At 39.1% G+C, this 14048-nt stretch overlaps 2 protein-coding genes across 12 annotated transcripts in view, besides 1 other annotated feature; one reads left to right on the top strand and one right to left on the bottom strand.

The window, feature by feature from the left end:
* The window catches only part of KLRG1 (killer cell lectin like receptor G1), a 265527-nt gene that overhangs the window by 37663 nt on the left and 213816 nt on the right, over positions 1–14048 (bottom strand). The window lies entirely within an intron of this gene.
* The window catches only part of PZP (PZP alpha-2-macroglobulin like), a 71924-nt gene that overhangs the window by 30488 nt on the left and 27388 nt on the right, over positions 1–14048 (top strand). For 5 of the 10 annotated variants that reach the window (XR_001748834.2, XM_017019763.2, NM_002864.3 and 2 more), the window contains exons 16-20: positions 8317–8478; positions 8934–9039; positions 11706–11856; positions 12541–12769; positions 13649–13775. Coding sequence is in view for 9 of the 10 variants with exons in the window: in XM_017019763.2 (XP_016875252.1) it covers positions 8317–8478; positions 8934–9039; positions 11706–11856; positions 12541–12769; positions 13649–13775 (775 nt within the window). In the remaining variant the exon portion in view is untranslated. Of the gene's footprint in view, positions 1–8316; positions 8479–8933; positions 10408–11705; positions 11857–12540; positions 12770–13648; positions 13776–14048 lie in introns of those variants that run through there. The other 5 variants (XM_047429274.1, XM_024449111.1, XM_011520807.3 and 2 more) reach the window with 3 other exon arrangements.
* Positions 7296–7807: an enhancer, noted in NCBI's record as "H3K27ac-H3K4me1 hESC enhancer chr12:9322697-9323208 (GRCh37/hg19 assembly coordinates)". NCBI's record gives its function as "activates a minimal SCP1, AML or CMV promoter by ChIP-STARR-seq in naive H9 embryonic stem cells {active_cell/tissue: H9 hESC(naive)}" and the evidence as "EXISTENCE:reporter gene assay evidence [ECO:0000049][PMID:30033119]".

The following is a 14048-nucleotide window of genomic DNA, read 5'->3' as shown; positions in this document are numbered from 1 at the left end:
TATGGAAGTCTAGTCTAAGCTATTAATTTCAGCATGTAGTACAGGAATTTAGTCTACCTTTCAACAGTTTATGTCTGTCTTATTCCTTTTAGTCACATAAATTTAACAGTCACTTCAGTAAGGTTTGGTAAACTTTGAGTGTTGTGGAAGTGAGAAGAAACTATGAACATAACTGAAGATTTCAGATGATAAAGTTATAGAAACGTTTAAGCGTGGTCGCTTTGAATAATAATAGAAATCATTAGTTCACCCAATATAAATAATACATGTTCATTTATGTACCTATTTAATTCTACTCAAAAACAAAGGTAAATAAAGAAGTAGAAAGGGTGTTTGCGTTACCTATCTACTGCTGCATAACAATTTTCTTCAAAACCTAGTGGCTTAAAACAATAAACATTTATTATCACATGCAATTTCTGTGAGTCAGGAATTCAGAGCAGCTTAGCTAGGTGGGTCTAGCTTGTGACCTGCCCTGGTTGCGATTAACATGGCGGCCAAAGCTGCAGCCACCTGACAGCTTGACAGAGGTTGGAAGATCTGCTTCCAAGACAAGTTTCTTGAGAGCTATTGGCAGGAGGCCTCAGTTCCTCACCACACAGAGGTCCTAGGGCTGCTGGTGTCCCACAATGTGACAACTGATTTTCTCCAGAGCATGTGATCCAAGAGAGCTAATGCGTTCCAAGAGTGCTAAACTTGCAATATCTTTTATGACCTAGGCCTGAAAGACATGTCCCCTCATTTCCACAATATCCCATTGGCTACAGAGGTCAACCCTATTCATTGTGCGACGAACAATGTTCGGGCATGAATACCAGGAGGCAGAGATTATTGTGGGCAATTCTGGAAGCTGTCTCCACAGCCTGACCTCTGATCCCCAGCAATTCATGAGCTCTCACATGTAAAATATACTCGATCCTCTCTCTGAGATTCTCATTGTAAAATAGGAACAGCTCAAAGGCTAAATATCATTTAAATCAGGTCCAAGTACAGATAATGCCTCTCAGGTGTGATTCCTCAGGTACAATACCTCTAGATACAAAGACATTGAACTAAAGTGTACTCAAGTTATTTGGCCCCACACACTTAACATGCAATGGTGGAACTGGCATAGAATAATCACTATTGACACTCCTGTTCAAAAAAGGGGAAACAAGAGGCACTCAGGAGTTACTCGTCCATAATTACTCTGAGATCAAGCCTGGCAAATGGAAGTTCTCTGATTAAGACTCAATCTTACATCTGTCCAGGGATAAATATTCAGGCCTCTGGCCCTGCCCTGTGGGTTCTTGAATCTGTTGAATCATCCATTTTCCATAAAAAGTACACTGCATAGACATTGGTCTATCCAATATAATGGCATAAGTTCATTTATGTGCCTATGTGGTTCTTTTATTTTTATTTTGAATATGGACTGCGTTTTATTTATTTATTTCTTTCTTCAACTTTTATTTTAACTTCAGGGGTACAAGTGCAGAATGTGAAGGGTTGTTACATAGGTAAACATGTGCCATGGTGATTTGCTGCACAGATCAACCCATCACCTAGGTATTAAGCCCAGCATCCATTAGTTATTCTTCTTGATGCTCTCCCTCCCCACACCCTACCTTCTAATAGGCCGGAGTGAGTGTTGTTCCCCCATGTATTCTCATCATTCAGCTCCCACTCATAAGTGAGAACATGTAGTGTTTAGTTTTCTGTTCCTGTGTTAGCTTGCTGAGGATAATGGCTTTCAGCTCTATCCATGTCTCTGCAAAGGACATGAACTCATCCTTTTTATGGCTGCATAGTATTCCATTGTGTATATGTACCACATTTTCTTTGTCCAGTCTATCATTGATGGGCATTTAGATTGATTCCATGTCTTTGCTATCGTGAATAGTGCTGCAGTGAATATATGCAAGCATGTATCTTTATAACAGAATAATTTATATTCCTATGGCTATACACCCAGTAATGGAATTGCTGAGTCAAATGGTATTTTTGCCTCTGGGTCTTTGAGGAATCACCACACTTTCTTCCACAGTGGTTGAACTAATTTACACTCCCCACAACAGTAAAAAAAGCATTCCTTTTTCTCTGCAACCTCATCAGCATCTGTTGTTTTTTGACTTTTTAACAGCAGCCATTCTGACTGGTGTGAGATGGTATCTCATTGTGGTTTTGATTTGCATTTCTCTAATGATTAGTGATGTTGAGCTTTTCTTCATATGTTTGTTGGCTGTATGTATGTTTTCTTTTGAGAATTGTCTGTTCATGTCCTTTGCCCACTTTTTAATGGGTTTTTATTTCTTGTAAATTTGTTTAAGTTCCTCGTAGACTCTGGATATTAGGCCTTTCTCAGGTGGTTAGATTGGGAAAATTTTCTCCCATTCTTAAAGTTGTCTGTTCACTCTAATGATAGTTCCTTTTGCTGTGCAGAAGTTCTTTAATTTAATTATATCTCATTTGCCAATTTTTGCTTTTGTTGCAGTTGCTTTTGGCATTTTCATCATGAAATCTTTGCCTGCGCCTATCTCCTGAATGGTATTGCCTAGATTTTCTTCAAGGGTCTTTATAGTTTTGGGTTTCACATTTAAGTATTTAATTCATCTTGAGTTAATTTTTGTATATGGTGAAAGGAAGGGGTCCAGTTTCAATTTTCTGCATAAGGCTAGCCAGCATTCCCAGCACCATTTACTAAATAGGGAGGCCTTTCCTCCATTGCTTGTTTTTGTCAAGTTTGTCAAAGATCAGATGGTTGTAGGTTTGCGGTTTTATCTCTGAGTTCTCTATTCTGTACCATTGGTCTATGTGTCTGTTCTTTATCAGTACCATGCTGTTTTGGTTACTGTAACCTTGTAGTAAAGTTTGAAGTCAGGTAACATGATGCCTCCAGCTTTGTTCTTCTTGCTTAGAATTGTCTTGGCAATTCAGGCTCTTTTTTGGTTCCATATGAATTTTAAAATAGATTTTTCTAATTCTGTGAAGAATGTCAATGGTAGTTTAATGGGAATAGCACTGAATCTATAAAATACTTTGGGCAGTATGGCCATTGTCATTACACTGATTCTTCTTATGCGTGAGGATGGAATGTTTCTCCATTTGTTTGTGTCCTCTATGATATCCTTGAGCAGTGGTTTGTAGTTCTCCTTGAAGAGGTCCTTCACTTCCCTTGTTAGCTGTATTCCTAGGTATTTTATTCTTTCTGTAGCAATTGTGAATGGGAGTTCATTCATGATTTGGATCTCTGCTTGCCTGTTGTTGGTGTATAGAAATGCCTGTGATTTTTGCACATTGATTTTGTATCCTGAGATTTTGCTGAAGTTGCTTATCAGCTTAAGAATCTTTTGGACTGAGATAATGGGGTTTTCTAGATATAAAATCAAATAAAGATAATTTGACTTTCTCTCTTCCTATTCGAATACACTTTATTTATTTCTCTTGCCTGATTGCCCTGGCCAGAAATTCCAATACTATGTTGAATGGGAGTGGTGAGAGAGGGCTTCCCTGTCTTGTGCCAGTTTTCAAGGGGAATGCTCCCAGCTTTTTCCCATTCAGTATGATATTGGCTGTGTGTTTGTCATATATGGCTCTTATGAGGTATGTTCCTTCAATACCTAGTTTATTGAGAGTTTTTAACATAAAGGGATGTTGAATTTTATCAAAGGCCTTTTCTGCACCTATTGAGATAACCATGTGGTTTTTGTCTTTAGTTCTGTTTATGTAATGAATCGCACTTATTGATTTGTGTATGTTGAGCCAAGCTTGCATCCCAGGGATGAAGCCTACTTGGTTGTGGTGGATAAGCTTTTTGACGTGCTGCTGGATTTGGTTTGCAAGTATTTTGTTGAGGATTTTTGCATCGATGTTCATCAGGGATATTCGCCTGAAGCTTTCTTTTTTTGTTGTGACTCTGCCAGGTTTTGGTATCAAGATGATGGTGGCCTCATAGAATGAGTTAGCGAGGAGTCCCTCCTTTTCAATTTTTGGAATAGTTTTAGTAGAAATGGTACCAGCTCTTCTTTGTACCTATGGTAGAATTCAGCTGTGCATCCATCTGGTCCTGGGCTTTTTTTGGTTGGTAGATTATTTATTACTGCCTCAATTTCAGAACTCGTTATTGGTCTATTCAAATATTCAGTTTCTTCCTGGTTCAGTCTTGGGAGGGTGTATGTGTCCAGTAGTTTATCCATTTCTTCTAGATTTTCTAGCTTATATAGACAGAGGTGTTTATAGTATTTGCGGATGGTTGTTTGCGTTTCTGTGAGGTCAGTGGTGATATTCCCCTATCATTTCTGATTGTGTCTACTTGATTCTTTTCTTTTTTTCTTCTTTATTAGTCTAGCTAGCAGTCTATCTATTTTATTAACTTTTTTTCAAAAAAACCAGCTCCTGGATTCATTGTTTTTTTAAGAGGGTTTTTCATGTCTCTATCTCCTTCAGCTCAGCTTTGATCTTTGCTATTTCTTGTCTTCTGCTAGCTTTGGGGTTTGTATGCTCTTGGTTCTACAGTCCTTTTAGTTGAGATGTTAGGTTGTTGATTTGATATCTTTCTAGCTTTTAGATGCAGGCACTTAGTGCTATAAATTTCCCACTTAACACTGTTTTAGCTGCATCCCAGAGATTGCAGTACATTGTCTCTTTGTTCTCATTAGTTTCAAATAACTTCTTGATTTCTGCCTTAATTTCATTGTTTACCCAAGAGTCATTCAGGAGCAGTTTATTCAATTTCCATATAGTTGTGTGGTTTTGAGTGAATTTCTTAATCTTGAGTTCTAAGTTGATTGCACTGTCGTCTGAAAGACTGTTATGATTTCAGTTCTTGTGCATTTGCTGAGGAGTGTTTTACTTCCAATTATGTGTCCAATTTTAGAGTAAATGCCATGTGGCAATGAGAAGAATGTATATTCTGTTGAATTTTGGTGGAGAGTTCTGTAGATATCAATCAGGTCCACTTGATCCAGAGTTGAGTTCAGGTCCTAAATATCTTTGTTAATTTTCTGTCTTAATCATCTGTCTAATATTGTCAGTGGTGTGTTAAAGTCTCTCGCTATTATTGTGTGGGAGTCTAAGTCTCTTTGTAGGTATATAAGAACTTGCTTTATGAATCTGGGTGCTTCTGTATTGGATGCATATATATTTAGGATAGTTAGCTCTTCTGGTTGAATTGAATCCTTTACTATTATATACTACCCTTCTTTGTTTGTTTGATCTTTGTTGGTTTAAAGTCTGTTTTGTCAGAAACTAGGATTGCTTTTTTCTGTTTTCCATTTGCTTGGTAAATTTTCCTCCATCCCTTTATTTTGAGCCTGTGTCTGTCCTTGCGTGTGAGATGAGTCTCTTGAAGATAGCATACTGATGATGGGTCTTGGCTCTTTATTCAGCTTGCCATTCTGTGTCTTTTAACTAGAGCATTTAGCCCATTTACATTTAAGGTTAGTATTTTTATGGGTGAATTAGATCCTGTCATCATGATGCTTTTTTGCAGACTTGTTTATGTGATTGCTTCATAGTGTTCTGGCCTGTGTACTTCAGTGTGTTTTTGTAGTGGCTGGTAATGGTCTTTCTTTTCCAAACGTAGTGCTTTCTTCAGGAGCTCTTGCAAGGCAGGCCTTGTGTTGATAAATTTCCTAACCATTCACTTGTTTGAAAAGAATCTTATTTCTCCTTTGCTTTTGAAGCTTAGTTTGGCCAGGTATAAAATTCTGGGTTGGAAATTATTTTCTTTTAGAATGTTGAATATTGGCCCCCAATTTCTTCTGGCTTCCATGGTTTTGGCAGAGAGGTCCACTGTTAGTATGATATGTTTCCTTTTGTAGGTGACTTGGCCTTTCTCTCTAGGTGTCCTTAACATGGTTTCTTTCATTTTGGCATTGGAGAATCTGATGATTTTGTGTCTTTGGGTTGATGTTCTTGTGGAGTATCTTACTGGCCTTCTCTGCATTTCCTGAATTTGAATGTTGGCCTGTCTTGCTAGGTTGGGGAAGTTCTCCTGGATGATATCCTGAAGTATGTTTTCCAACTTGGTTCCATTCTCCCTGTCTCTTTCAAGGATCCCAATCAGTCATAGGTTTGGTCTTTTTACATAATCCCATATTTCTCAGAGGTTTTGTTCATTTCTTTTCATTCTTTCTTCTCTATTCTAGTCTGCCTGTCTTATTTCAGATAGATAATCTTCAGGCTCTGAGATTCTTTCCTCCTCTTGGTCTATCCTGCTACTGATACTTGTGATTGCATTGTGAAGTTCTTGAGATGCGGTTTTCAGCTCCATCAGGTCAGTTATGTTCCTCTCTAAACTGGCTATTCTGGCTACCAGCTCCTGTATTGTTTTATCATGATTCTCAGCTTCTTTTCATTGGGTTACAGCTCAGCAAAGTTTATTGTTATCCACTTTCTGAAGTCTACTTCTGTCAATTCTTAGCCTCAGCCCGGTTCTGTGCCCTTGCTGGTGAGGTGTCACAGTCATCTGGAAGAGAAGAGACACTCTGGCATTTTGAGTTTTCGTTGTTTTTGAATTAATTCTTTCTCATCTTTGTGAACTTATCTACCTTTAATCCTTGAGGCTGCTGCCCTTTGAATTAGATTTGTGTTAGGTCTTTTTTGTTGATGCTGTTGTTTTCTGTTTGTTTGTTTGTTTTTCTTTTAGCAGTCAAGCCACTCTATCATAGGGCTGCTGAGGTTTGCTGGGGGTCCACTCCAGACCCCAGTTGCTTTGGTTTCTCCCGTACGTGGAAGTATCACCAGCAAAGGCCATGAAACAGCAAAGATGGCAGCCTGTGCCTTCCTCTAGAAACTCCATCCTGTGGGGGTACTAACTTGTTGCCAGCCCACATGCAACTGTTGGAGGTGGCTGGAGACCCTCATTGGGAGGTCTCGCCCAGTCAGGAGGAATGGGATCAGGGACCTTCTCAAAGAAGCAGCCTGGCTGCTTTTTGGTAGAGCAGGTGGGCTGCATTGGGTGGGATCCTTCCTCACCTGGATCACCTGTATTCTCCAAAGCCAGCAGGTTGGAGTGGCAGAGTCAACCAAACTGCAGAGATGGCAGACACCCCTGCCCCCCAGGAGCTCGGTCCCAGGGAGAGATCAAAGCTCTGTCTTTAGAACCCTGGCTGGAGTACCTGAAGCCCCCACAGAAAGGTCCCACTCGATGAGGAGGAATGGATCAGGGTCCCACTTAAAGAAGCAGTCTGATCACAATCTGGCAAGGCAGCTGTGCTGCATCGTGGGGGACCGTTCCTCATCCAGACCATCTGTATTCCCCAAGCCTTCAGGCTGGAGTGGCTGAGTCCTCAGAACCACAGAGATGGCACCCACCTCTCCCTGCAGGAACTCAGGTCCATCTCAGGTGGACTCCAACCCACTGCCGTCGGCTGGCTGAGATTCCAAGACAGTGAGTCTTAACCTGTGAGGTGCTGTGGAAGTGGGGTCCACAGGATGATGCTCTTTGGCTCTCTGAATTTAGCCCCCTTCCTAGGGATATATACAAACAGATTTCCTGCCTTTCCAGGGATCCCAGGGCCGGATTATGTAAAACTCCAGGGTTTCTGTGTGCCTGAGCAGCTGCTCTGCCAAGACTCCACATAGCTTTGTGTATCAGACCCAAGACCCTGGTGGCATGGGCTCACAAGGGTATCTCCTGATCCATGGGTTGCAGAGATCCTTGGGAGAAATGTGATTTCCCAGGCGAGGTCGCACAATCACTCACCGCTTCCCTTGGCTGGGGGTGGGGGTTCCTTCCGTTGCCCTCCCCCACCTCCGCCCCTGCTGCTTTTCATTGTTCTCTGTGGCTCAAGTTGCTTGCCTAGTCAGTCTCAATGTGAGAACCTGGGTATTTCAGTTGAAGGTGCTGCATTTAATAAGCTTTTTCATTCCACTCCGTAAGTGCTGCAGACCGCAGCTGCTTCTAATGGGCCATCTATACGATTTTCTGTCTGAGAATAAGCCTGAGTAGACATAGATGTTTAACAGGTGGCAATAATAATATGTAGCTAAATTCCTCAGGGCATTATGTATTAATTAAACACAGATGCAAGTTACGTCTTCTTTCTATATTTGGTCTATTTTTACCTCTAGACTCTACAATGAAGTTTTAATTAATCCTTCATAACTTAAGATTTTGTTAATCTTTGGAAGCATTTTCCCAAGTAGGTTTCATTTCTTTATAACAAAACAACACTGTTAAATATAAGGAAAATCTTCAACTATCTCTAAGGTACCAACTACATGAACGTACTCAAGAAAAGATTGGTGATAATTATTTTATTTCTCTCAGTTCATTCTATTTCAAAAGAAAAGTAAGTAACAGTTCTGCCTTTGATCCCCCCACTGCTACAGGTATATAATCTGCTAACTGTGAAGGATCTCACCAATTTTCCTGACAATGTGGACCAGCAGGAGGAAGAACAAGGACACTGTCCCCGTCCTTTCTTCATTCATAATGGAGCCATCTATGTTCCCTTATCAAGTAATGAAGCAGATATTTATAGCTTCCTCAAGGTAAAATTCTCACTACTTATTAACATGCTGGCTTGTGAGTTTTTGAATGTTAATAAAACTCTGTATCTATTCATAATCTTAGTAATTATGTAGCCTTGCCTCTCCATTTTTCAGCAGACAAAAATGAAGCCAATAAAAAGGTTAAAGTCTCTTGTGAGGATCACACAAAAGCTCAGTATGTGAGTCAGGGCTAGATCTAACCTCTGCCTATTCATCTGGATACTTTTTAGTTATATTTAGGTTTTTTTATTTGCAAACCAAAAAATAATGAATAAAGAATAAAATCTTAATAATCCATAAGTTTAGTAATTTCACTACTCTATATTTACTGTCAAGTGTTTCGCCATAGAATTAATATAAGGATACTGGAATTACATAGAGAAGTCTCTAAGGATAATATGTTTTATATATTCTAATCAAGCTTACAAGTAGATTGAACAATTATTTTTTTCCAGGGGATGGGATTGAAGGTGTTCACTAACTCAAAAATCCGAAAACCAAAGTCGTGTTCAGTCATCCCTTCCGTGTCTGCAGGAGCAGTAGGTCAAGGATACTATGGAGGTAAAACAGCAATTTGCTTTTAATTTTATTTCATGTCCAACAATATTACTATGCCCAAAATGCTAAAATGAGGTAATGTAGCCCTATTTCCACTTTATACACACAAAGAAACCAAGATTCAAATTAATTGTTTCTTGCTGAGGTGACTTAGCTGGTGATAGCTAGAACTGATCAGAGATTTTTTTTTAGATACATCCGATACTTCAGGGCACAAAATCAGATAAAATACAAGATTCTGATGTACTGTAAGAGAGGGAAAATGCTGACAATGGAAAGAAAGAGTAATTCTGATTATGGAAACAGGAAAGACATTCATAGGGATGCTGTATTTTAAAAAACATAAAGAAGGACAAAGGGCTTCACTGGTGACAAGAAACAACGTGAACATCACAGAAATATCTCATAATCCATGGCCAAAACCACTATTCAAATACAGCAGCCTTTTTCAACACCCTTGAACTTATTAAAACATCTGTCCCATCACCAGGTCTACTTACACTTGAACACTACCCAGCCATTTGTCATCCCTCTCTCATGAATCCAACTCCCTTTTTCTCCAAAATATCCCTGACATCCATCTGCTCACAAATATTTATATGCTCGGATTGGAAATCAGATATCCTATATGTGAAGTGGGTGTGTCATATCTCCTCTCTAAGCCTCAAATCCTTCATTAATAAATTGAAGGAATTTGACTAATGGCTCTTCAAGACCTTGCAAAACGCCCAATAAGATAACTAAATATAATGCACCAACACAAATTAAGAACTTTGATTGTTTAAATAGCATTTTCTATGTTCCTTGGCATTTAAGATTAATATCCATCTTTAAATGAGCTTTATTATTAAGAAAATGACACCTTTTAAAGGGCCATGGACTGTTTAAGTATACCTTCAATGATAGCACAAATTTCAAACAATTTCTCAAAAATGGTAAATATGATTTTGTCTTGTAACTGAGATGTTATATAAATAACGAGAATAAAGAATAAGGGAAAGGAAAATAGCCATGAGATTTACATAGAACAAACTTCAAGTTTAAACCATTGAGGTTTGGGGGGAAGGAAATGTTCTTGAATTTATTAAATTCAAGATGGAAAATTGACGGCATATAATAACACTCAGGAAAAAAAGAGCTTCTAAAATGTGTGATGAATACATAACAGGGATTGAAATTAGTAGCTATAAATGAATCAGGTATATGAGGAAATAAAAGAGCTAAGAAAACTGAAATATCTTGTGAAATTTCTTGATAAGAACTTCAACAACATGAAGCCATTTCCATGACTACAGAGAACAATGAAAAGCAGCAGGGGTGGAGGTGGGGGAGGGCAACGGAAGGAACCCCCACCCCCAGCCAAGGGAAGCGGTGAGTGATTGTGCGACCTCGCCTGGGAAATCACATTTCTCCCAAGGATCTCTGCAACCCATGGATCAGGAGATACCCTTGTGAGCCCATGCCACCAGGGTCTTGGGTCTGATACACAAAGCTTTGATGCAGAGACTATGAAAGGACACGTGGAAAGTCAAGTTGACAGTAAGAGTAGGAAGGATATAGCCATGGTCCACTAAATGGAGTTGAAATAACACATAATGCCATGGTTTGTTAACTGCAATAACTGGAGGAGTTGGAGGGCCCTTGACATATCCAGTAGAAAATGGAAAATAGTTCATTTAGGTGCATCATCCTTTTAGATATTTCAATATTTAAGATAAGAGTGAAGACAGAGAAGACAAAACAGTGAGAAATCAGAGTCAGAGATAGAAATTGTTACCACTTGGAAGGACATGGGGCAAGGTGTATGATATTCACTAAAGAAATTACTACTGATGCTTTCTTCAGTGGAGAAAACTGTTAGGGTGAAATTGCTAGAAATATATTTTTCCTTGTAAGTATTCTTTCACAAGGTATTTCTGAAATATCAGATGGGATACATGGAGGGAGATCTTAAATCAAATTCAATTAGTAAGCATGATTTCAGGCACAACGTGGACAAAATTGCTTTCATGTCTAGCTCTCCACCCTCTCACGTTGGTAAATGATTTCTTTGTCTGAACCACACAGCCATTCCAAATGGAAATATCTGTTTTTGACAACTGAATTGTTTATTTCAGATGTCAAAAAATAAGTGGAATAAAATCTAATGCTCTAATCTTATTTCCCAGAGAACAACAGTTTTGCAAAGTTCCATACAGTGATTTAAAGTAAATTTAATTTATGTAAAAGTAATTTAATGTAAATCATTAAATTCTGTTCACTCCACTGGTAATTTCATTTTTAGTATAGCAACCACTCTCAATGTCTAAAGAGCATTTTACAATTCCTGCTCAGTTTCTCTAAGAATGAAGCAATACTGTCTCAATTTCAAAATTGGTCCTTCGCCACAAAACCCATAAAACTGTCTCCAAGTGATCTCGTTTTTCCAGCTTCCATTCACATCAAATTATGCTATGTCTAGGATACATAGAATTTCCACCTTTGACAAAGACTCCTCTCTTTTCAGGGAATGAGGGATCACAAAGTATTTCCCAAGTTCTACAACTTCTACAAGACTTTTAGGACAGTCTGAGCAGGAAAACTGAAAATTTTGTTCTCTAACGTCTCACATGTGCACCATGAAATTAATGAATGTTTTTCCCTAACTAGACAATTTTCTCTTACTTTAGCAGGTCTAGGAGTAGTAGAGAGACCATATGTTCCTCAATTAGGCACATATAATGTGATACCCTTAAATAATGAACAAAGTTCAGGGCCAGTCCCTGAAACGGTGCGAAGCTATTTTCCTGAGACTTGGATCTGGGAGTTGGTGGCAGTGAAGTAAGTAACTTTACTTTCCTCCATTTGCTGGAGGGGAGGGAATGTGGTTCCTCCAACATTTTCAATTCTAAGACAATCTTCCTGAAAAGTTCTGAATAATTATCTTAACCTCTTCCTCTTTAGGATAGACCTAAGTAAAATGCGCAATTGCATAGGCTCATTAATACAATTGTCTCAGTGCTGAGCAATTCTAAAATAATTATTTCTGATACTGTCAAATAGTAGACATGAGAACTATAAATATTCAGTTCTATATATACTGCTTAATGTCGTTCAGGGAGCCTTCTGTAAATATCAGGGCTGGAGCAGGCACATAAACAAATCAGGCTACATTAATCCAGTGGTCTAATTGTTGGTCATGATTCTTAAAAATGCTTATTTATGGGATTATACAATAGCAAGGGAAGTTAAGGACTAAAATGAATCGCAATTCAAATATTTTTATTCAAAGTACAGACATGTGGGATATGATCATTTGTTGATAAGGGGGAGAGGTACCATTCAGTGGCTTTCATTTTCCCAACTCAGATCCCAGGACATAATCTAGTGTTCACACGAATGCACACTCGCATATACCCTTAAGTGGATTCAGTTCTTGACGTTAGCTTTATGCATATTAATTCTCACTTGAGAAAAGGTGGCTTACATTCATTATTTCTGTTCTTCACTTGCCCTCCTCCCCAGCTCATCAGGTGTGGCTGAGGTAGGAGTAACAGTCCCTGACACCATCACCGAGTGGAAGGCAGGGGCCTTCTGCCTGTCCGAAGATGCTGGACTTGGTATCTCTTCCACTGCCTCTCTCCGAGCCTTCCAGCCCTTCTTTGTGGAGCTCACAATGCCTTACTCTGTGATTCGTGGAGAGGTCTTCACACTCAAGGCCACGGTCCTAAACTACCTTCCCAAATGCATCCGGGTAAGGAAAATGAGGGTGAACAGGAAAGGTGGGTAGAACAAAAGATTCCTTTGATCAGTCAGCTACTGATTCTGTTCCTGAGACTAAGGATAATTCAAGGGATTGTGTGTTAGCACTGTGAATAATTAGTGCTATGCAAAGCAGGACATGATCAGAAAGATAATACAATGATATATGTGCTATGGGTGCTTAAATCACGGCTCTCTAAGCCACACCTTGCTTTTCTATTTCTTAGCGCTTGCAGAATTCTTTGCTGCAAGTTAGGTTATATGCCAGGAACATTCTTGAAGCTGACACACAACTCAGCTTTCTCAGTTCCACGAGAGTCATTCTCCAACCCGTCATCTTGAAATCTCCAAAATATATAATTTTAATTTATCTTATAGCACTTATCTCTTTGTAAATTATGTAATAGTGGTTGTATATAGATCATCTTTCTTGTGACACAATATCCTCAAGATCGGGAGCCTCTCATCTACCATTCCCAGTGTTTTATGTCTTGTATGGATTAGACATGTAATATATGTTGTAAGAAATAGGAGAAGAAAGGAAGGAAGAAACTATGAAAATCTACATAGCAGCAGATAGTATTCCCTAGGGCAATATACAATCACTGCTTTTCCCTTTCCTCTGCCACTGCCAAGCCTGCACGTCCACAAGCTACCCTAAGGCAAATGCCAAATCCTCCTAATACACAACCAATCTTGATTTGTATCATTGCCATTGCCATGCTTCTTAAAGCATGGATGAATCTATGTGACATACATTTTTCTTACAAATCCCAATTTACTGCAGCATCTCACACTTGGCCCCAATTCTATGTGTTCGTGTCGTTCCATATTCTGATCATTTCTGTCTCTGCCTCACATGGGGTGATAGGTCAGTGTGCAGCTGAAAGCCTCTCCAGCCTTCCTAGCTTCCCAAAATACAAAGGGAGAAGAATCCTATTGTATCTGTGGAAATGAGAGACAAACCTTGTCTTGGACAGTGACTCCTAAAACTCTGGGTGAGTGACAGTACCCAAAAGGGCCTATCAATCAACAAGGACGGTGGCTGTCTGAGTACTTTTTTCATCATATTCTCTCTTTTATTTGCCATAGATATAATTCTATAAAGTTAGTTTTTTTTCCTATTTCTATCCACTATGACCTCCTCCCACTGTTCTCACCCAAGCTAGTCCCCAGAATCACTATCTTGGACATTGGCTACTTAGTATACATTAACCTTGTGGGTTTCTTTTTTTTTAGCCTTATTTTCTATTCTGGACAACTATAAGTTT

This window comes from Homo sapiens, chromosome 12, assembly GCF_000001405.40.
Source record: "Homo sapiens chromosome 12, GRCh38.p14 Primary Assembly".
Classification (NCBI taxonomy): Eukaryota; Metazoa; Chordata; class Mammalia; order Primates; family Hominidae; genus Homo; species Homo sapiens.
This window is presented reverse-complemented; position numbering and strand designations above follow the sequence as displayed.